General features: G+C 44.1%; 1 protein-coding gene across 1 annotated transcript in view; it reads left to right on the top strand.

Annotated features, from left to right (window-relative positions):
- Positions 481–23,329, top strand: part of FRRS1L (ferric chelate reductase 1 like) — a 36,957-nt gene continuing 14,108 nt past the window's right edge. Inside the window, exons 1-3 of the mRNA NM_014334.4 lie at positions 481–829; positions 18,010–18,094; positions 20,541–20,679. Of these exons, the coding sequence (NP_055149.3) occupies positions 592–829; positions 18,010–18,094; positions 20,541–20,679 (462 nt within the window). The 5' untranslated portion in view covers positions 481–591. The remainder of the gene's footprint in view (positions 830–18,009; positions 18,095–20,540; positions 20,680–23,329) is intronic.

Raw genomic sequence — 23,329 nt, 5'->3', positions numbered from 1 at the left:
TTCCTTCTGTGATGATCCAAGAAATAATAGGTCTAGCAAGTGCTTTATGTAAACCAAAAAGTGCCGGCACAAGGTTGAGGAGGCAGCACTGACCAGGTGTGTCCAGGGTAAACTCTCTAGAGGAGCGTTTCATAAATTGAACGTGCATTGGGATCTCCTGGGAATTTTGATGAAATGAACATCCCGCTTCATGGGTCTGGAGTGGGGCCTCAGCGATGCTAACAAGCTTCCAGGTGATGCTGATGCTGCCGGTCCGCGGACCACACTCCGGAGTAGCAAGGGGCCAGAAGGGCCAAATCTGCCTGCGTGGAGGGAAGTCGGGGAGATGGGGAGAATGGAAAGAAGGACGGTAGAAGGGAAGCTGCTAGGAAGGAGAGATCGGTGCGGGGAGGAGGGGGGTTCCAAGAAGAAGGGGGAGGCTGCGGTGCTGGAGCGAGGATGCGCAGACCGAGGCAGGGAGGCGGGGGTGCGGGAGGCTCCGCGGCTGCGCGGGCGCGTGCTGGTGGCCTCGGCGGAGGCTCAGTCCCGGCCCGCGCCCGCGGCGCCCCCGCTGCGGCCCGAGCGGCCTGGCTGCGGGATCTGTGCGCACGGATGGCGCGGCCGCCCCGGCAGCACCCGGGGGTCTGGGCGTCGCTGCTCCTGCTGCTACTGACGGGGCCCGCCGCCTGCGCAGCCAGCCCCGCGGACGACGGTGCGGGCCCGGGGGGCCGGGGACCCCGGGGACGCGCGCGGGGGGACACGGGCGCCGACGAGGCGGTGCCGCGCCACGACTCCTCCTACGGCACCTTCGCGGGGGAGTTCTACGACCTGCGCTACCTGTCGGAGGAGGGTGAGGCTGCGGGAGGGCGAGGGGTTGCGGGAGGGGAGACCGGGGGTGGGGGACCGAGGATCGGGGGAACGAGGAGAGGGGGCGAGGGAGGGGGAGGGGGTCGGAAAAGATGTCCGTGGAGGCAGCTCTTGCAGAGGCGAGGCCAGGATGGGGAGCGCAGTGCCCAGGCCTCCGCCGGCCTGGAGGAAAGGCCCAAAGAGCTGTCAATGCCTGCCGCCCGCTTTACAGATGGGGAGAGTGAGGCTGGGAGAGGGAGGGGTCATCCAAGTTCTGCAAGGCTGTGGATAGGGGTGGGTGCTGAGTCTAAGCTCCCCCAGTTCTTAGATCTGGCTTCCACCTTTGCCGCCTGGGGTTGGGTTATAGGGGAGGAGGCCGCCATCTGGCCAGGGCAGCTAGGGGGAAGCAGAAAAACCCCAACCTAAAGAGAGAGGTTGCCTTATTTCCTCCCTGTCTGTATTGACTTAAATTTGCAGTGACCAGCGCCCACCTCGTAGCATTCTGTTCCTGCTCACTGACCCGTCAGAGCTGGGTCACATCAGCCTCCCCACTCCCATCCCTCCTCTTTTATGACGCCACATATGTTATGGTCCCCTAGTGCGAGCCACCATTGTTGTGGCCTGCTGGGCCCGCAGACTGGGAGTTTGTCAGCCAAGGGCCTCCCTGTAGAGCTGCTTCAACGAGCACAAAAGCCAAGCGGATGGTGGTCAGAAGGAATGGAAACTGGCCTCTTTAAGCAACTTTGGGAAGTAGTGACTTTCCTTTTCTTCTGCTAAGAGGGATATCCAACCATCAAGCTGGGGTTTGAAGTGTTGAGTCCCAGGAGCTCATATCTGTTAGTGGATGTGTCTGTTGTTAGGATTAAGTTCAGCTGTATACAACAAGCAAACATTAATAGCTTCAACAAGATAGAAGTTTCTCTCTTACAGAAAGAAAACTAGAAATAGGTAATCCAGAACTGGTCTGGAGGCTCCTTGGTCACCAGTGTCTCTGGATCCTGCCCTTCTGTTTCTTCACAATTCTTAGCATGTAACTTCATGGTTCAAAATAACTGCTTGAGCTACAGCCATTATGTTCACATTCTAGACAGTGGGAAAAATGAAGCAGGAAGAAGGTCACTGACTACTTTATAAAGGGATTACTCGGAAGTTTCATATAACAATTTTTATACTTCTTTGGCCACAACTTAATCATATGGTTGCACATAGGTACAAAGGAGGATGTAAAATAGAGCCTATTAGCTGAGACATAATATGCCCAGTTCAAAAATCAGAATTATTGTATTAAAGAAGATGGAGAGAATGGATTTGGGGAAATGTATTAAGTAGAGGCTTAACTGCTGAATTAGAGATTTTAACATATAGTGGTTTAAATAAGCTAGTTTATTTTTCTCTCTGATAAGAGTCTGGTTGGTCTGGGGCTGGTGGGATGACTCTGTTCCGCAAGGTCATTCAGGGACCCGGGTTCTTTCCATCTTGTTGCTCTGCCATCCCCCTGAGGCTTTGTCCTCATCAGTACAGTAGAAGCCAGGTTGCATGTCCTTGTTCAAGATTGAGGGAAAGAAAAAGAGAAGTTCAGGGCAAGTAGTTACCTTTTAGGCTGGCTGCCCACATTACTGCTGTTCACATTCCTTTGGCAAAAACATAGTTACAATGACCTAGCTTCAAGGGAGACTAAGAAATGTAGTCTTCTAGCTGGAGAGCCATGTGGCGGAATCTGTCACTCTGGAAAAGAATAAATATTCCGAAGCCCGTCTGTTTCTGAAAGCATCTAATGTATCTTTACACTGTACACAGCCTAGTGCTGCCAGGTGACTTAAATGTGGTATGTGAGAACTTGTATTCTGATTGGGCTCATGCATCTAACAAATGAAGGATAAGCTCAGATTCTGTACGTCCTTTGAGTCTCTCTGCAGAGAGAATGATATGTTCATTGTATAGTCCAGAAAGTTTTATGAATGTGGACATCAGGTGGGCCACAGCCATCAAGGACAGCTTTTATAGAGTCAAGCCATGAAGTAGGAAAGACTTCAGTGACACAGAAGAGGGAAGGCATTTAGGTGAGGTGATCACATAGCAGGCAGCAGGGCTTTGTACCGATCCCTAGTGTGTCTGCTTCGCGCCCCCACCATTCTGCACATAAAACTGGTTTAACCCTCCTGAAGTCTGCCTCTAACCTGTTGGCATTGCACTCAAAAGTCTGTGATGGGGCCGGGCGTGGTGCTTCACGACTGTAATCCCAGCACTTTGGGAGGCTGAGGTGGGTGGATCAGGAGGTCAGGAGTTCGAGACTAGCCTGGCCAACATGGTGAAACCCCGTCTCTACTAAAAATACAAAATTAGCCGGGCGTGGTGGTGCACGCCTGTAATCCCAGCTACTCAGGAGGCTGAGGCAGGAGAATTGCTTGAACCCAGGAGGTGGGGAGGTTGCAGTGAGCTGAGATTGCATCATTGCACTCCATCCTGGACAACAGAGTGAGACTCGGTCTCAAAAAAAAAAAAAAAAAATCAACCTGCTCCCTGAATGAATATTCAACTGCTTTATCTGAAATGTCCTCCCTGGCTCAACTTCCTTTTACAACCATATCTCCCCTTCCCTCACCCTGAGCTTTTACTCTCCATTCTTCTCCTACCCTCTTCTCTCTGACAGTTTCATTTCCTCTTTGCATACAGATTCTACCACCATCCGGTGGGTGCTAGTTGAGATGTAAGTGGCGTGGGGCTATCAGAGGCAGTGCCTCTGCTAGATTACCCTGGGCCTAGGCTTCATCCCTGTGGGTCCTGAATAGAGACTTTCCCAAGACGCTTAGAAATAAACAGTGACATTGCCTTAAAAGCGGGGGCTGAGGAGGGGTTGCCAGAGAGAGGGAAGAAGAACCAGGAGAGAGGGGTGTCCCAGAAGGCAAAGGAAAAGAGCCTGTTTCCTACCAAGGTGTGGCCTGATAGCATGAAGGCTCAAAATTATCGATGGTTTCAGGAGATGAGAGGTTATGGGTGGAACTCTCCTAGGACAGATTCAGTGGAGAAGGAAGGAGGGAACCTGACTGACCTTGGAGGACGTGGCAAGTGAAGAAGTGCCGGTAATGCCTTTGACTTATTCTATCAATACACTTGAGGTTGTCCATTTCTAGTGACTAGGCTACTTGTTCCCTCTGTGCAGGGTACCCCCTTCTTATGTCTCAAATAGTCATGAAACTGAGTTCAAAAATCAGAAAAAAAGGAATTTGAATAGTGGAGGTGGGAATGGAAATCCACTGAAACTGAGAGAGAGCCTACTGACCATTACCTACCCTACCCAGAGACTATTTCCCCAGTATCCAGATTGCCCAAAACCCTCAAATCCAGAGGCAGGATGCTGGCTAATTTGCTGTCTCAAGAAAATGATCACCCCCTAACATGGTCATTTTTAAAAACTTAAGTTATGCTAGTGTTCAGAATTCTTTGAGGGTCCCACTGTCTAAGCCTATACTACTCATGCTTACAGTCTCAGCTCAAATGTCACCTCTTTCAGGAAGCCTTCCCTGATTTTCTCCTTCTCCCACAGAAGATATTCTTCCACAGCACACAGTCTGCCGTGACCCTCTTTGCTGTCTATGGTCAGGAGTTCAGATAGGATCTTAGTGCTTGAATCCTACCACTCATACTTCTTTCCCTTGAGGTTCTTAACCCAGAGTCTATATATTCAGAGCAATGATAGAATGTGAAACAGATTACCATTTGATTATGGGCAAATGCTCACTTCTGAGGGTTCTTTGGGGAAAAACAAACAAAACTGAGTTGGATGTTGGCTAAGGGTTAAGTCCCAAATGAAGCTTGCTTCTCCCTGCTGCTAAGATGGCCAGGTTTGGGAAGCAGACCCTCAGTCTTAATCCAGCCAGCTACATGGATGATGTTAACCGCCTGACCCTTGGAGCCATACCCTGCCTAAGAAGGAAAAGACAGAACATCATTTATGGTCACTTATCTTTAAGGCATAGTCATCTGACTACTCGTAAAATGTGGCTCAATCAAGGATTTTCTGACCATTGAGTTCTGATCACAATTTTTCTTGGGAAAGAGCCAGAGAGGTAGAAAGAAGGACAGAACATGGGGCAAAGGGCAGAAGTTTAGTCATCTTCCTATATCCTTCCCCCATCTACCTTGGACGGTATGTGGATATATAACTTACCACTCTACTAATCTGGAAGTCCTTTAAGGGTAACAATTTACATCTAATTTATCTTTGTATCCTTCATGAATCTAGCCTGATCATAATACCAATTAGAGCAACTCTTAGTATGTGCTTACTACGCAGCAGGCCCCGCTTTAGGGTACCTTGTCCATATGAATGTTAATCCTTATAGCAACACTGTGAGTTAAATACTACTATTATTGCTACTGTAGAGATAAAGAAACTGACCCACAGAAAGTTTGACTATTTTAGCTAAAGTCACACAGCTAGAAAGTAGCAGAGAACTGTGTGGATTTGTTGATGGACTTAATGGATAAAGTGGTAGAAGGTGTCCTGCCCATCTGGAATGGAGGGTCCCTGTTGACTTGCACTAGGAAATGGATTGGACAGGTAGAATTGCTTTTTCGTTTTTGTTTTTGAGACAGAATCTCGCTCTGTCATCCAGGCTGGAGTGCAGTAGTGCGATCTCAGCTCACTGCAACCTCCACCTCCTAGGTTCAAATGATGCTCATGCCTCAGCCTCCCAAGTAGCTGGGATTACAGGCATGAGCCACCACACCTGGCTAATTTTTGTATTTTTAGTAGAGACAGGGTTTCACCCTGTTGACCGGGCTGATCTTGAACTCCTGACCTCAAGAGATCTGCCTGCCTTGGCCCCCCAAAGTGCTGGAATTACATGCGTGAGCCACCATGTCTGGCCTAGAGTTGGGTATTTTTGTGAGTGAACTTGAGAGGAAGAGTTTGGAACTGATATGGTAGACAGTTAGGGACTACAGTTTCCTAAGCAGTGGAGTGCCACCATGAAGGCTGAGTTTGCTTCTGTGTGGAACTTTACACCTTATAAAACCCCTCGATACTTTTACTTCATAATACGACCCTGAAAAGAGAAGGAACAAAAATTGAGGCCGTCGGGAAAGAGACTGATGCAGTAGTTCTCAGATGAAACTGAATGGTGTGGCCAGACAATTAAAACTTAAACTTCAAGGAATCAAGTACTAAATTAATAGCTAAAGGCTGTGAGCCAAGCCATTAATTAGAAGCAATAAATAGCAAACCAGAAGCCATTAACCACCCAGTAGAGTGTGGTAAAAGGGATTGCAAAAAAGGAACAGATAGTTTCTTGAATTAGACAAGAATGGAAACCACAAAGCCCAATTGAGAACCTAAAAAATCAACCAAGAAAATAAGCACCTTTCATGGTTCAGCAATAAATGAAGGGATTATAAAATAATAGAGAGGAAAGGAGGGAGAGAAAAAAATGGCTCGAATTGTTCTCCAAAACAGAATTTACTGAAAGAGCTTATAGAGTCCATGTCAGCAGAAGGAAAGAAAAGGAAGGAGAAGAATTGATACACCCTTTTTTAAAAAACCCCCAAGCCAATATTAATGTAGTCTCATTCAGGTTCTTATTTTAGAGGGAAAAAAATAGCATCAAAATGGAAAATGGAGAGAAAGGAACAAGCCAAAACAATTTAAGTGATGAAAAATGGGGGAACGGACAGAGCGAAGGGAAGAGGGAAAAGCTGGTTGTGTCTGGGTGGTTCAACACATATGTCTCAAGACTAAGGAGGACAGGTAGGTGTAGGGGAGATGGAATGCTGGGGAGTAGTGTCAGGAGCAGTGGGATGACAGAATTAGATTTCTGCTTCAGGCCGGGTGAGGCGGCCTGTAATCCCAGCACGTTGGGAAGCCGAGGCGGCAGATCACCTGAGGTCAGGAGTTCAAGACCAACCTGGCCAACATGGTGAAACCTGTCTCTACAAAAATACAAAAATTAGCCGGGCATGATGGCGGGTGCCTGTAATCCCAGCTACTCGGGAGGCTGAGGCAGGAGAACCACTTGAACCTGGCAGGCGGAGCTTGCAGTGAGCCAAGATCATGCCATTGCACTCCAGCTTGGGCGACAGAGCGAGACTCTGTCTAAAAAAAAAAAAAAAAAAAAGATTTCTTTCTCAGAAAGATGGCGGCAGGGCAGAAGGAGTGAGAGAGAAGCCAGAGAACCAGATAAGAGACAGAACTACAGCCAAAAGTCAGGCTCTGGTTTCTGAGGTAGGAATAACAAGAAGTGGTCAGGTGCAGTGGCTCATGCCTGTAATCCCAGCACTTTGAGAGGAGCCCAGGAGTTTGAGATCAGCTTGGGCAAGAAAGTGATACCCCATCTCTACAAAAAGATAAAAAAGTTAGCCAGTCATGGTGGCACACAGCTGTGGTCCCAGCTACACGAGAGGCTGAGGCAGGAGGATCACTTGAGCCTAGGAGGTCGAGGCTGTGCTCCAGTCTGGGTGACAGAGTGAGACCCTGTCTCAAAATAAATAAATAAAAGGAATAGCAGGAAGTGATGGCTGAGTAAATGTGCCAGGTTGGGGAAAGGGAGAAACTTAGGACTGAGGTTTCAGGATTGTGAGACTGTAGGTGGCTAGTGGGATTATCCACTAAGATAAGAAACATAGGACGATAGCTTTTGGGAGGCGGAGGAACTCATCTGGAATTGATTTGCTTGTGGAATATCCAGGGAGAAACCCCTGGAGGCAGTTGGCTGTTGGGTTTAAACTGATAGAAGAAAAGAAGAAAGGCCGAAAACTGTGAAGTGACAGAAAGAAGGGAATAAATCTAAAGATAGTAGAAGGAAACAAATAACAAAATAATAAAGATATAGCAGAATTAATGAAATAGAAACCAAATATTCAGTAAAGGGGATCCACAAAGCCTAAAGTGATTCTTTGAAAATATTAATAAGACAGATAAGTGTATAGTCAGGGTTCTCCAGAGAAACAAAAGCAATAGGATATGTATCTATGTAGACAGATTTATTTTAAGGAACTGGTTCACATGATTATGCAGGCTGGCAGGTTCCACAGTCTGCAGGTTGGGTCGGCAGGCTGGAGACCCAGAGATGAGCTGATGTTTGCAAGTCAGGTCCAAAGGCCATCTGCTGCTACACTGGTTGGTGGAGGTCACTCTTTTTGTTCTCTTCAGGCCTTTGACTGATTGGATGAGGCCAACTTGCATTATGGAGGGCAATCTACTTTGCTCAAAGGCCACCTGCTTAAATGTTTTTTTGGTTGTTGTTGTTGTTGAGACAGAGTCTCGCTCTGTCACCCAGGCTGGAATGCAATGGCGCGATCTTGGCTCACTACACTTCCCAGGTTCAAGCGATTCTCCTGCCTCAGCTTCCCAAGTAGCTGGGATTACAGGTGGGTCCCACCATGCCTGGCAAATTTTTGTATTTTTAGTAAAGACAGGGTTTCACCATGTTGGTCAGGCTGGTCTCGAACCCCTGACCTCGTGATCCACCCACCTTGGCCAGAGTGCTGGGATTACAGGTGTGAGCCACCACGCCCGGCCCACCCACTTAAATGTTAATCCACTCCTAAAACACGCTTAAAGAAACATTCAGGTTCTTTAAACCACATATCTGGGCACTTTGGCCAGCCAAATTGACATATAAAATTAACCATCTGGCAAAATTAATCAAGAAAAAAAGAAATAAGAATGACAAAGGGGGAACCTTAGACATAGCAGAGATTAAAAAGCTAATTAAATTGTAATTATTACAACTTAATAAAAAGATAATCCAATTTAAAAACAGAAAAAAGCTTTAAAAAGACATTTTTCCAAAGAAGACATACAAATTGCCAACAAGCTCATGAAAAGATGCCCAACATCATGGGCTGTTAAGGAAATGCAAATCCAAATCATAAAGAGATACCATTTCACACCCACTAGGATGGTTGATTTTTTTAAAAGGAAAATAACAAGTCCTGGCAAGGAGGTGAAGAAATTGGACCTCTCATACATTGTTGGTAAGGATGTGAAATGGTGCAGCTACTTTGGAAAATAGTTTGGCAGTTTCTCAAAAAGTTAAACACAGAATTACCATATGATGCAGCATTTCTACTCCAAGGGAATTGGAAACATATGTTCACACAAAAACTTGTCCATAGCAGCAGCATTTGTAATAGCCAAAAAGTGGAAACAACCCAAATGTCTATCAAACTGATGAATGGATATACACATGTGGTTGATCCATACAATGGAATATTATTTAGCCAGAAAAAGGAGTGAAGTTCCAATACATGCTACCATGTAATGAACCTTGAAAATATTATGCTAAGTGAAGGAGGTCAGACACAAAAGACCACATGTTGTATGATTCCATTGATATAAAATGTCCAGAATAAGCAAATCCATAGAGGTAGAAAGTGGATTCATGGTTGCCAGGGGCTGAGAGGAGGGGGAATTGGGAGTGACTGCTAACAGGTACAGGGGTTCTTCTTGGAATCATGGAAGTGTTTGTGAATTAGATAGTGGTGATGGTTGCATAACCTTATGAATATATTAAAAAACACTGATCTGTATACTTGAAAAAGGTGAATTTTACGGTATGTGAATTAGAGCTTACTAAAAATGAAAGCAGATAAGCTAATAAGAAATACAAGGAACAGTTTTATGCCAATACACTCGAAAATTTAAATGGACAAATTCCTAGAAAAAAAATGCAACTTACCAAAAACTGACTCAAGAAAAATTAGAAAAACTGAAAAATTTTTTACCCATCAAAGAAATTGAATCAGTTAAAAAAATCTTCCAACCAAGAAAGCTCCAGGCTCAGTTCTACCAGACACTCAAGTGACAGCTGATGCTAACCTTAAACACATTATTTCAAAGGACCCTCAAAGAAGGAATAGTTTCCAGCTTGTTTATGAGGATAACATAACCTTATTAGCAAAACCAGACAAGGACACAATGAGAAAGGAACATTACAGAAGAGTTTTGATCACGTACATATGCATAAGTACTATACAAAATATTTCTGAAGGAATGGAAAATGATATTTTAGGCAAAGATGAACCATAAGAAAACCAAGATGACAGTAACATCGGACAAAATATAGAAGATAAAACATAAGGAGCAAATTATGTCGTATATCGATAGAAGAAACTAATCAGGAATGTTTACCTGTAACAGTATAGTATCCAAATAAAAGCAGTAACTGATGGAAATGGTGTACAGCAAAATATAAACCAACATTTGTAATTGGACATACCACCCTTGGTATTGAAAAATCAAACACATTTTTAAAATAAAAGATATAGGGAGACCAAGGCAGGAGGATAGCTTTGAGACCAGGAGTTTGAGACCAGCCTGGGCAACATATTCCCTACAAAAAAATTTAAAAATTAGCCAGGCATGGTGGCACCTGCCTGTGGTCCCAGCTGCTCAGGGTGCTGAGGCAGGAGGATGGCTTGAGTCCAGGAATTTGAGGCTGCAATGAGCCATGATTGTGCCACTGCACTCTAGCCTGGGTGACACAGTGAGGCCCTGTCTCCAAAAAATAAAAATAAAATATATAGATAGTTTCAATTATATGAATGATAAGTTCAATTAAATAGATATGTAAAACCCACAAATACAGAATCATACTCTTTTTGAGCACATAAGATCCACTAAAATCAGCCATATACCAGAATATAAGAAAGTCAACAAATTACAAAACAGTCTACCTCATACAGATGTCTTCTGATTACAATGCTGTAAGATTTGAAATTAACAAAAGTTTAGGGGAAAAAATCACCTATGTCTGTAAATAAAAACAATATTAACCTATATGTTAAGGAGAAAAATCATAAAGAAAATTAAGATATGCATATAATGACCATCAAAGCACTGCATGTCAAAATATCTGGCGTGAATCTAAAAGAGAGCTTAGAGGGAAATTTACAGTTTTGAATACATTTATCAGAAAATAAGAAAGATTAGACGCTGGGCGTGGTGGCTTACAACTGTAATTTAAGCACTTTGGAAGGCTGAGAGGGGCAGATAGCTTGAGCCTGGGAGTTGGAGAGCAGCCTGGTCAACGTGGCAAAACCCTGTCTCTACAAAAAATTTAAAAAAAGTTGCTGGGTGTGGTGGCTCATGCCTGTAGTCCCGGGGTGAGGTAGGAGGATCACCTGAGCCGGGGAGGTGGAGGTTACAGTCATCGTGCCAGTGCACTCCAGCCTGGGTGAGACAGCAAGACCCCGTCTCAAAAAAAAAAAAAAAAACATCCAGGTGCAGTGGCTCATGCCTGTAATCCCAGCACTTTGGGAGGCCGAGGCGGGCGGATCACGAGGTCAGGGGATTGAGACCATCCTGGCTAACATGGTGAAACCCCGTCTCTACTAAAAGTACAAAAAAATTAGCCGGGCGTGGTGGTCCACCCCTGTAGTTCCAGCTACTCGGGAGGCTGAGGCAGGAGAATCGCTTGAACCCGGGAGGTGGAGGTTGCAGTGAGGCGAGATCGTGCCACTGCACTCCAGCCTGGGCAACAGAGTGAGACTCCATCTCAAAAAAAAGAAAGTAAGCTAAGCATTCAATTAAAAATGGAAACAAAAAGGAAGGAAATAACAGATCTGGGTGGAAATAAATGAAATGGAAAACACATGTGAAAATGAGTGATGACCCAAACTGAATGTGGATTGTTTTGAAAACTCTCATAAGATACACAAATTTCTGGCATGACCAATCAAGGGAAAGAGTGAAAATACAGATAAACTGTGTATGAAATTAAAAAGGAGAAATTTGACAAATACGGTGAATGAACTCCCTCTGCATCTATCCCAGACTCTCTAGTGTGCCGGCCCCTGATCCGGAGGCTAGATTATTACCGGGAATCCTGAGTTCTGGATACAATTTTGATTCTGTGAATCATGTACATGACACTGGAGTCAGAACTGGGTTATGTGAAGGGAGGGAATGGGATGCAAGCATCCATTTTTTTTCTGCAACAGTTTTATTGAGATGTAATTCACATACCATGCAATTCACCCAATTAAAATGTGCAATGCAGTGGGTTTTAGTATATTCACAGGGTTGTGCATCTGTCACCACAATCAATTTTAGAACATTTGCATCATCCCCCAAAGAAATCCTATACCTTTAGCTACTACTCTGCAGTCCCTCATCTCCCTCCTCCCCACCCCAGCTCGAGACAACCACGAATCTTTCTGATTCAATATTTGTGTATCCTGGACTTTTTTTTTTTTTTTTTGAGATGGAGTCTTGCTCTGTCGCCCAGGCTGGAGTGCAGTGGTGCAATTTTAGCTCACTGCAACCTCCACCTCCCAGGTTCAAGCAATTCTCCTGTCTCAGCCTCTTGAGTAGTTAGGACTACAGGTGTGCTTTTTTTATTTTTGTATTTTTAGTAGAAACAGGGTTTCACCATGTTGGCCAGGCTGGTCTCGAACTCCTGACCTCAAGTGATCTGCCTGCCTCAGCCTCCTAAAGTGCTGGGATTACAGGCATGAGCCACTGTGCCCAGCCTTATCCTAGACATTTCATGTAAATGAGATTATATAATCAAGGTACGTCCATGTTGTAACATGTATCAGTACTTCATTTTTTATGACTGAATAATATTCAGTCTTACATATGTGGATAGATTTCCAAAGGGAAATAATAAACAGAATGAGATGTACTGCACAGTGTCATTTATGCAAATTAAAACATACACAAGTGATATATTAAGAGCACACCTATGTAAAAATAAACATAGAGGTGAATGGTAAGTTTCAGTGGGCCCTCACTGGTCAGCTCTGTTTGGGCATTTCCAGGCTTTGTGCCTGGCCATGAACAGGCTAATGCAGTGGAGCTGTGGGCAGCATGGCAAGGGGTGCTGTTGGCAGAGTGAGAAATTGTGCCTGGAACCTGAACCTTAGATCCAGGATCTGCTGAAGGCAGTTTGGTAATTATCGTGTAAGGTAATCATGCAAGAGTTTCAGGATGATAATCTTGGGAATATGAAAAACTTTTTGCAACCTGGCAGGACTTTACCCTGGACAGGCAGAATTCCATGCTACATAGAATGGACTGAGATGAGAACCTTACCCCACCACCAAATTGTCTGTTATCCATTATCGCTAATGTGTCCTTTCAGTTTATCATAGTAAAATATTGCTTTTCTAAGACGTATGTGTCAGAGTGTTCATTTTTTGTTAAAACTTCCATCCTTGGGAGAAGGTTATGCATGAAATATGCTGGACCTCGTGTCTAAGGTGGGGAAGAAAATGGAGTTAGTGATGGATTGGTGGAAAAATATAAGATTGGCTTTGTATAGACTGATAATGAGTGTTCCATAAATCAAGAAATACCAATTTAATTCTGTGTACCTAGGGTACTTAGAATTGTACAATTAAAATAATTTCCCATTAGAATTGTCTAATGCATGTAAAACATAGATCCTATTGAATGTCTTTATTTTCTAGCCTTCGGATAAGTACTAATAAGCTACAGTTTTGGCAAACACATTGTATCAGTATTGAAAGGTTAATCCATTTAGTCTGCATCAATCAAGTTCCAGTAAGAAAGATGGAAATCATACTAGCTGTTTAAACAAAAGACCAGCCCAGGGAATTGTCTAAGCAAGAAGTTGCGGGACTGGAGAAGCAAAAAGGGAGTACCAAGATAGCATGCAGAAAATAACTTCAGGAAAGTTACCATCCTTGGGGCTGGAGTTGCAAAGAGAAGGGCTTGAGATTATAAAAAGGTCCCAGACCAGGACCTCGCAGAGCTGTGACCCATCCTTTGAGAATGAGGCTGTGCTCAGCTGCTGCTGATGCCTCAGAGCAGCATGGGATGAGGTTGGTTCTGGGAGCCTAGCACCGAACTGGGAACTCAGGCCAACTGCCAGGATGAAGTAGAGTTGCTGAGAACTTGCTTATTGGAACAGCAATCACACAGGAAGGAACAGTCCTCTTTCCCTCCTCCTGCCTTCCTCTAATGCTTGCTATTGGCAGAGTCTAAGCACCTGGCAAAGGAGAAATGGTTTGCAGAGTACTCAGCCTATAGAAGGCTGGGTTGTAGCTGAGAGACAAGAGCTTAAATATTGGCACATGGTCCAAACTTATTTTATATCAAATAGAGATCATTTAATTTCAGGAAAAAAATCTAATTCTGCTCTGCTTATATTCCAGTATCAACTCCCGACTGGTGTACTGCAATTCAGTTCCTACACTAATGACCCAGAGTTAGTGCAGATCCCACAAGTGAAAGGGCACAGTTCACAATAAGATTGTCCACACCTCAGACCAACTGGCTATAAATGTGGGGTCTTCCCACAAGATAGAAGAAGCTTCCCACTTCAGCTTCTATTATTTGCTAGAATGTTTCACAGAACTCAGGGAAAAAAAAGTGCTATTTTTACTATGACAGTTTTATTATAAAGGATACAACTCAGGAACAGTCAATGAAAAGACACATAGGGTGAGGTCTGAGAGGCTCCCAAAGGCAGAGTTTCCATGCCTTCTCCTCGTGGGATTATCACATTGCCCTCCCAGCACATCGATGTGTTCAACCAGGAAGCTGCACTGGGCCGCAGTGTCCAGAGTTTTTATTGGGGTCTCACTATGTTGGAATGATTGATTTAATCATTTGGCCACATGGTTAAACTCAATCTCCAGCCCCACAACCCTCCCTATAGGTAGGTCTAGCACAAAGCCCCAACCTTCTAATTACATGGTTTTTCCAGTGACCAGCCTCTATTCTTAGTCATCCCGTTGCTCAGCATAAACTCAGGTGTAATCCAAGGGGCTCATGAAGAACAAAAACACTCCCATTACTTGGGAAATTCCAAGGTTTTAGAGTTTGTCTCCCAGAAACCAGGGACAAAGGCCAAATTCTTTATTTTTCAACAGTTTGCAATATAAGAGGAAAATGTTATTAAAGGCATGTCCAAGTGCATTTGACAGAACACAAGTTCCTATTACAAGTTTTAGAAGCATATATGATAATAGAAAATTAGTGCTAGAAAAGTCCTGAGAAGCCATTTGCCAACATGAATAAACTAGTTCAGAACATTTATGAGCTAGCTTTGTTCCAAAATTTGCTTTCATTTGGAGTTTAGAAACCTGTTGTTCTTTTTTTTTTTTTTTTTTTTTTTTTTTTTTTTTTTTTGAGATGGAGTCTCTCTCTGTCACCCAGGCTGGAGTGCAGTGGTGCGATCTTGGCTCACTGCACGCTCCACCTCCCGGGTTCATGCCATTCTCCTGCCTCAGCCTCCTGAGTAGCTGGGACTACAGGTGCCCACCACCACGCCCAGCTAATTTTTTGTATTTTTTAGTAGAGACGGGTTTCACTGTGTTAGCCAGGATGGTCTCGATCTCCTGACCTCATGATCTGCCCACCTTGGCCTCCCAAAGTGCTGGGATTACAGGTGTGAGCCACCATGCCCAGCTGAAACTTGTTGTTCTTAAAGAGACAATCGTACCCAATGGTTATTACTTCTCAGGCCAGTTTACAAAATTTAATAGGGCCAGGCGCAGTGGCTCATGCCTGTAATCCCAGCACTTTGGGAGGCTGAGGCAGGCGGATCACGAGGTCAGCAGTTCGAGACCAGCCTGACCAACATGGTGAAACCCCGTCTCTACAAAAAATACAAAAATTAGCCGGGCGTGGTCGTGGGTGCCTGTAATCCCAGCTACTCAGGAGGCTGAGGCAGGAGAATTGCTTGAACCCAAGAGGCAGAGGTTACAGTGAGCTGAGATTATGCCACTTCACTCCAGCCTGGGCAACAGAGCAAGGCTCTGTCTCAAAAAAAAAATAGTGATAATAATCCAGTAGTAATAGTAACTGGTATTTATTGAGCTGGAAATCTGCTGTATGCTAACGTATTATTCTAGATGCCAGGAAGTAGTGAGGATGATATGTTTGAAAATGGAAGAAGATGGGGAACCTGAGTCAGATGCAACATTAAAAGAGATTGTCTTTGTCAGTGAACTCTAGAATTTCAAAAACATGTAAGTGAACAATCATTGAATTCCTGGATAAATATTCTGAGACAAATGGCCTCAGGACTGTAGTGAGAAGTAACAGGAAGAAGATATATGAAGCTGCTTAACATACAGTAGTTTGTAGTGGCTCAATAACTATTCAGAAAAAAACAAAACTCGTTCAAGTCAGGACTCAGTCTATAGCAGTGAACCCCAGCCTTTTTGATACCAAGGACTGGTTTAGTGGAAGACGATTTTTCCATGGACTGGGTCAAGGGGAAGGTTTTTGGGTGATTCAAGTACATTACATTTATTGTGCACTTTATTTCTATTATTATGACATTGTAATATATAATGAAATAATTATACAACTCACCATAATGTAGAATCAGTGGGAGCCCTGAGCTTGTTTTCCTGCAACTAGAAGGTCTCATTTGGGGGTGATGGGAGACAGTGGCAGATCATCAGGCATTAGATTCTCATAAGGAGCGTACAACCTACATCCTTCACATATGCAGTTCACAATAGGGACTGCACTCCTATGAGAATCTAATGCCACTGCTGATCTAAGAGGAGGTGGAGCTCAGGCAGTTATGCAAGCCATGGGGAGTGGCTATAAATACAGGTGAAGCTTCGCTTGCTTGCCTGCCACTCACCTCCTGCTGTGCGGCTTAGTTCCTAACAGGCCATGGACTGGTACTGGTTAGTGGCCCAGGGATTGGGGATCCCTGGTCTCTAGTACTGAAGCAGATATAGGACTTAGCATAAAATAAGCATAAAACTAGAAAAAGTAATGCATTTGATCCAACTACTTTGGTGGTAAAAAGTTAGGATTGTACTTTATGATGTGATCAAGGTCCAGGATAGTAAAAATGGACTATTCAGAGTGCACAGAAGTGTGCCAGAAAAGTGTGACCTGGTGGCTTTTTTAAAGTATAATAAATCTAATGGACAAAATTAGCAAAGCCTCACTTTAAAAAAAGTAGCATTACAAATCCCAAAGAAAAAACTTAAAAATAACAAGAAAAAAACTCATAAAATAGAATGATTTTTAAAAGTTTGTACTGATTTACATTTCCTAATGTCTGTGGGTGATTTTATTTATTCCTTTGACAATCATTTATTCAGTGTCCAGTGCCAAGCACTATGCTGGGCAGAGAATACAAGATAAGTCTCACATGATTCCTGTGTACGTGGAGTAAACAGCCTAGGAGAAAAGATTTCTCTCACAAAGTGGAGGCATAATGCAGCCTTACCCTTCAATGTATGGTTTGATGCATTATGGTGGTAAGTAATCTTATAAGAAAGATAGACAACTGTTAGAAATTATGTGTTTAAAGAATTTAGCGACAAGTTGGGTATGGTATGGTTTGATGCATTATGGTGTATGGTTTGATGCATTATGGTGGTAAGTAATCTTATAAGAAAGATAGACAACTGTTAGAAATTATGTGTTTAAAGAATTTAGCGACAAGTTGGGTGCGGTGGCTTATACCTGTAACCCTAGCACTTTGGGAGGCTGAGGACTGTGGATCACTTGAGGTCAGGAATTCGAGACCAGCCTAGGCAATATGGTGAAACCCTGTCTCTACTAAAAATACAAAAATTAGCCGGGTTTGATGGCCGGCGCCTGTAATCCCAGCTACTCGGGAGGCTGAGACAAGAGAATCCCTTGAACCTAGGAGACAGGTTGCAGTGAGCCAGGATGGCACCACTGCACTCCAACCTGGGCAACAGAGGGAGACTCTGTCTCAAAAACAACAAAAAACAAAAACAAAGAATTTAGTGACCTAAGAAAATGTTACCTACAGGTTAACGCAAAATGGAAGTTGAAAATGGAATGGAAAAATCCTGTTATCAAGTATATAAATGGAAAAATCCCACTATCAAGTATATAAATGTATCACTGTTAACTTTTTTCTCTTAGAACATGTATATTGTATTAAACGTGTGATTCTCAAACTCCCAGGGGACAGCGGTAAGCCCGTGGTTATATGAAATTGTGCCTCTCTCAGTGCCCCAGGTTCCTCTCCTGTAAAGTGAGAAAAGGACACACCTACTCTCAGTTCACATGCAAGATTAGGTCCAAAGGTGTGTGTCCTACACCCTCCCCCATGAAGGGGATGATTAGCCTTCATCAAAGCCATTTTCTGAGTCCCCAAACATTTCTCGATATGTGTGAGAAAAAACAGTCAACACATTTTTAAAAATTCTCATTGGAACAGTTGTTACTGGATTTTCTAACCCTTCTTTATTCTCACTGCCCAGGTTACCCCTTCCCTACTGCTCCTCCTGTGGATCCATTTGCCAAAATCAAAGTGGACGACTGTGGAAAAACTAAGGGATGCTTTAGGTTGGTGGAACTGCAGGTTGGATAACTTTAAGGCTAAGACTGATTTACTTCTCAGGGTAGTATTTAAATTGCATGCAGTTCCTTCTAATCAGGGGGCCTGAGCTCCTTGATCACCTCAGCAGGGTTATGAAGTTTCGTAACGGCCATCCCGCTTTTCAGTCTTAAAGGCCTTTTAACTTTAGTATGTCCTGGGCCCGGGACCATTCTTCCATGGTTCTTTTCTAGCTGTACCACCATTGCTCCAGGTGTCTCCTACTCACCAATTGCTGATATGCAGAAGACTCATGTGACACAGAACGTGTCTGTGCTTATTCAGCAGGGGCTGTGGGCAGGACAGGCAATGATAGACATGTTTAGTACCCAATTCCTTTTTTAGTAAATAGTCCTGACCTATGGATATCTGTATGATTCTAACTAGTCATTAAGCATTCATTGTTGCTAGCTTGTTATCTCAGGCATGGTGAGTCTCTACATGATTATTAGTAGTATCACGACATGACGGGCTGGGCTAGAAAACAGTCATGTGGACAATGGGCCTCCCATCTAGACAGCTCAGCTTCTTTGGGAAAGCCTCCTCCTTTGAACCCTTTACTTCCTAAAACAAATTGCCCCTGAATAATTTGATGGTCAGGGGCAAAGTTTTGATGGTCACTGTACTGAAGGTTCTGATTTTGCTGTTGTTCAGTACTTAAGGTCTAAGAAGGAAAAATTGAATACAGGGGCTTTGAGCTTTCTTTGGATTACAAGGCCACTTCTAAGGAATGAATAAAAATAGCCAAAAATGTTCTTATTGAGGAAGATGGTCAGCAATGTATAAACCTGGTGATTGGGGGATATTTTGAGAAGGGAGGGAATTTTAGTACTCTACTGGCTTCAAAGTGACTTGTTTTCTTGTCCATTTACTCCTTTTTTTAACTTCCCTTGCTCCTTTTCATCTTTTTCACCCCAGTGCCCTGTTGCCTTGATCCTATTATATCTCTTCCTGACTGCTCGGGTATTTCTGCCAGCATAGTAGTACATTTCTGTCCCCTCCTCAACACTTAGCACCCCTGTGCCCTGTTCCTTTAGATACCTTCCATCTGCGCGTATATTGTCCCACCCATTGCTTCAACTTTCTACCATTCTGCAAATGGTGTAATACAGTGTTCCTCAAACCAGGGCTTGCCAGTTCTGAAAGGATCCACAAGTGCTCTGTAAGAAAATTTAAATTTGTGTTTTCATTTCAGTGGTGCTCTCAAAAAAACATGAATGTCTGCATAATCTCACTATCTGGATAATCACCTTATATTGTTGTATGTTTTAGTGTCTGAATTTGTAATTATATTAGCAGCAAGTAGCCCAACAGAACAAAGGCAAATTTTATAAATAAGGCCAAGCACAGTGGCTTGACTGTAATCCCAGCACTTTGGGAGGCTGAGGTGGGTGGATCACCTGAGGTCAGGAGTTCAAGATCAGCCTGGCCAACAAGGTGAAATCCCGTCTCTACTAAAAATACAAAAATTAGCCAGGTGTGGTGACCCATGCCTGTAGTCCCAACTACTTGGGAGGCTGAGGCAGGAGAACTGCTTGAACCCAAGAGGTGGAGGTTGCAGTGAGCCAAGATCCCGCCATTGCACTCCAGCCTGGGCAACAGAGTGAGACTGTCTCAAAAAAAAAAAAAGAAAAAAAAATTGTAAATAAATATTGCATTCATTCATGGTTCATGAGTACCAGATGGGGGTATTCATTTGGTGTATCGCATAAATAAGGATTTTGCAGCAGTTCAAACAGATAAAAGTGAAGAGTTGAGCCATCATGCTATAGAGAGTAGTAAGAACATGCTCTCAACTCCAAAGACCCTGCACGATCTAATCGGATACCACATGCACATAAGCAGAAATTTACTTTCAGTAAAGCCCCATTATCTGTTGCATGAGTGCTGTGAATTTCAATGTTCCTGGTTTATTAGTTTAATTTATATTGAATTTGTAAATTTGTGTTAGTTTGATTATATGAAAATTTGTAAGTTAAAAAGAGTTGGTATACATTTAATTAACAGAAACAATTTAAATGGTTAACTTGGAGAATCTTTTTCCATTAAAAGGGATTCAGAAATAATTCAGTAGTAACTAACATGTAAAAGACTCTAATACTAATATAATGTAGAGAACACTGGCTGGGAGTTTAGATACCCAGATTCAAGTCCTGTTGCAACCGCTGACTTCACTATACAACCTCGGGCAAGCCCCTTCCCATCTCAGGACTGCAGTTCTTGTGTACAAAGTGGGGCAGATCATCTCTAAGGTTCCTCCTAAGAGAGTGAAACTGTGTTTTTAAGATTCCAGGTAGCAAAAATCCAATGTGTTTAATAATATTGCTTAGCATCCCACATGATACATGGTAGATGCTCTCTTAATGTCTTTTGTGTAAGTAGAAGCAGTAAAGTCTCTTTCGATATCTCTTCTAGATATGGCAAACCAGGCTGTAATGCAGAGACCTGTGACTATTTCCTCAGCTACCGGATGATAGGGGCTGATGTAGAATTTGAGCTGAGTGCAGACACAGATGGTTGGGTAGCAGTTGGATTCTCTTCAGACAAGAAAATGGTAAGATGCAAAACATGATAGAAGCTGATTTTTTCTCTTTAGTTGGCTGTGCTATTTTGATTTTAGAAGCAAGTTAATTGATCAAAGCAGTATAATGATCAAATTAGTTATGGCTCTCTGATTGCAAGTTAAAAAAAATTCAGGCTAGCTTAAATGAAAGGGTTGGCTATCAGAATCCAAGCTGTCTTGTGGCACCTCTTTTCATCAGCTGTTTCCACAGTAAGGCTGCAAGAAGAGGCCCCCATGTTATAAGCCTTATATGGCTTATAACAATGAGCATTTATTGCTTGCTCACATGTTCATGGATTGACTGGGGTGCAGCTCATTTTAGGTGGGGTTCATCTGGACTTGACGCCTGTCCATGAGTTGGATTCAGGTTTTCTCTGTGTTTTCACTAGTCATCCAAGGCATATTTTTTTCATGGCAGAGGCAGAAGTGAAAGAACCACTTATAAGAGGGAAAAACAACTTTTTTCCGTCTCTACTCATATTCTCACTACAGAAAGAATACTTCTGTGACCAGATGTGTGGGGGTGTTCCCCCACACCCCAAGCATTTCTCCAGTGGACAGCTAGGTGTCCTCTAATTCACTTTGTTTCTGACACTACCTACCTGGAGATAGCATTAGATCCCACAGGTTAAGGGTTCAAAACCACAAGACTGCCCCCATTTCAGACACCCGTCACAAGCCCCAGGTTGTGACCTGTATTTCTGACCAGCCAGCTATAAATCTGGGGTGCCACCACCCTCTTCTGTTCAGTTAATCTCCTGGAGTGGCTCACAGAACTCAGAGAAACACTTTACTCATTTATTTATTTATTTATTTAATTTATTTGTTTGTTTGTTTGTTTGTTGAGATAGAGTTTCGCTCTTGTTGCCCAGGCTGGAGTGCAATGGTGTGACCTTGGCTCATTGCAGCCTGCACCTCCCAGGTTCAAGCGATTCTCCTGCCTCAGCATCCCAAGTAGCTGGGATTACGGGCACCTGCCACCACGCCCTGCTAATTTTTTGTATTTTTAGTAGAGACGAGGTTTCACCGTGTTGGCCAGGCTGTTCTCAAACTCCTGACCTCAGATGATCCACCCACCTCGACCTCTCAGAGTCCTGGGATTACAGGCATGAGCCACCGTATCCCACCTACTTTACTCATTTATTATGAAGGCTATTTTGAAGGATACAGATGAACAGTTAGATGGAAGAGACACTTAGGGGAAGGCATGGGGAAGGGAGTGAGGAGCTTCAACACCCTGTTGGGTGTGCTACCCTTCAGGCACCTCCATCTGTTCAGCAATCCAGAAGCTCATCCGAACCCTGTCCTTTTGGGTTTTTTTTATTTTTTAGACAGAGTCTCGCTCTGTTGCCCAGGCTGGAGTGCAATGGCATGATGTCGGCTCACTGCAACCTTTGCCTCCTGGGTTCAAGTTTGATTTTTCTGCCTCGGGCTCCCAACATAGCTGAGATTACAGGTGTAATCCCACCTGTAATACAAAAAACACCCAGCTAATTTTTGTAATTTTAGTAGAGATGGGGTTTCACACGTTGGCCAGGCTGGTCTCGAACTCCTGGCCTCAAGCAATCTGCCCACCCCAGCCTCCCAAATTGCCGGGATTACAGGCACTTCCGTGCCTGGCCTCTTTTTGAATATTTGTGGAGGCTTCATTATAAAAGGCATGTTGGATTACATCAGGGAAGTTACGAATTTGTTTCAACAGTTTTATCTTCCTCTGTACCCAGGGGCAAGAAAACCTCTGGACCTCAGACAGGACTGTGGCCAGGCACAGGCGGGGCCTCAGGTGCACAGGCAGCTGTCATCACTGGCCCCTGCTCTTCCCTGTGCCTTGCTGCGTTTTTCTCTCTTTCCTCTGGAGCCCCATTCTTTTGCCACTTCACTGGGCCAGGCTTGTTCCCAAACTATGAGACTTTCTCAGTCCTCTGTGCTTTTGCCCTTGTGGCTGTTTCTGCCTAGAGCACCCCGCCCTTCTCTTCACCTGGCCTATTCTGAGGCTTGTGTGGGGCTACAGGGGAGAGAGGAGGGCGGCTCAGACCAAAGTTCCAGCAGTGACAGTGCTGAGGGCTCAGATTTTGAATGTTTTGAAAGTAGCACTAACTGAGGCCAAGGCAGGTGGATCGCCTGAGGTCAGGAGTTCGAGAACAGCCTGGCCAACATAGTGAAACCCCGTCTCTACTAAAAATACAAAAAATTAGCTGGGTGTGGTGGCGGGCGCCTGTAATCCCAGCTACTCGAGAGGCTGAGGCGGGAGAATCGCTTGAACCCAGGAGGCGGAGGTTGCAGCGAGCTGAGATCGTGCCATTGTACTCCAGCCTGGGCAACGAGAATGAAACTCCGTCTCAAAAAAAAGAAAAAGAAAAAGAAAATAGCACTAACTGGCTGGGCATGGTGGCTCACACCTATAATCCCAGCACTTTGGGAGGCTGAAGCAGGTGGATTGCTTGAGGTCGGGAGTTCGAGACCAGCCTGGCCAACATGGTGAAACCCTGTCTCTACTAAAAACACAAAACTTAGCCGGGTATGGTGGCAGGTGCCTGTAATCCCAGCTACTCAGAAGGCAGAGGCATGAGAATTGCTTAGGAGGCAGAGGTTGCAGTGAGCTGAGATGGCGCCATTGCACTCCACCCTGAGCAACAGAGCG

This window comes from Homo sapiens, chromosome 9 (assembly GCF_000001405.40).
Source record: "Homo sapiens chromosome 9, GRCh38.p14 Primary Assembly".
In the NCBI taxonomy this organism is placed as follows: Eukaryota; Metazoa; Chordata; class Mammalia; order Primates; family Hominidae; genus Homo; species Homo sapiens.
The sequence above is the reverse complement of the archived record's forward strand: the minus strand, read 5'-3'. Positions and strand labels throughout refer to the sequence as shown.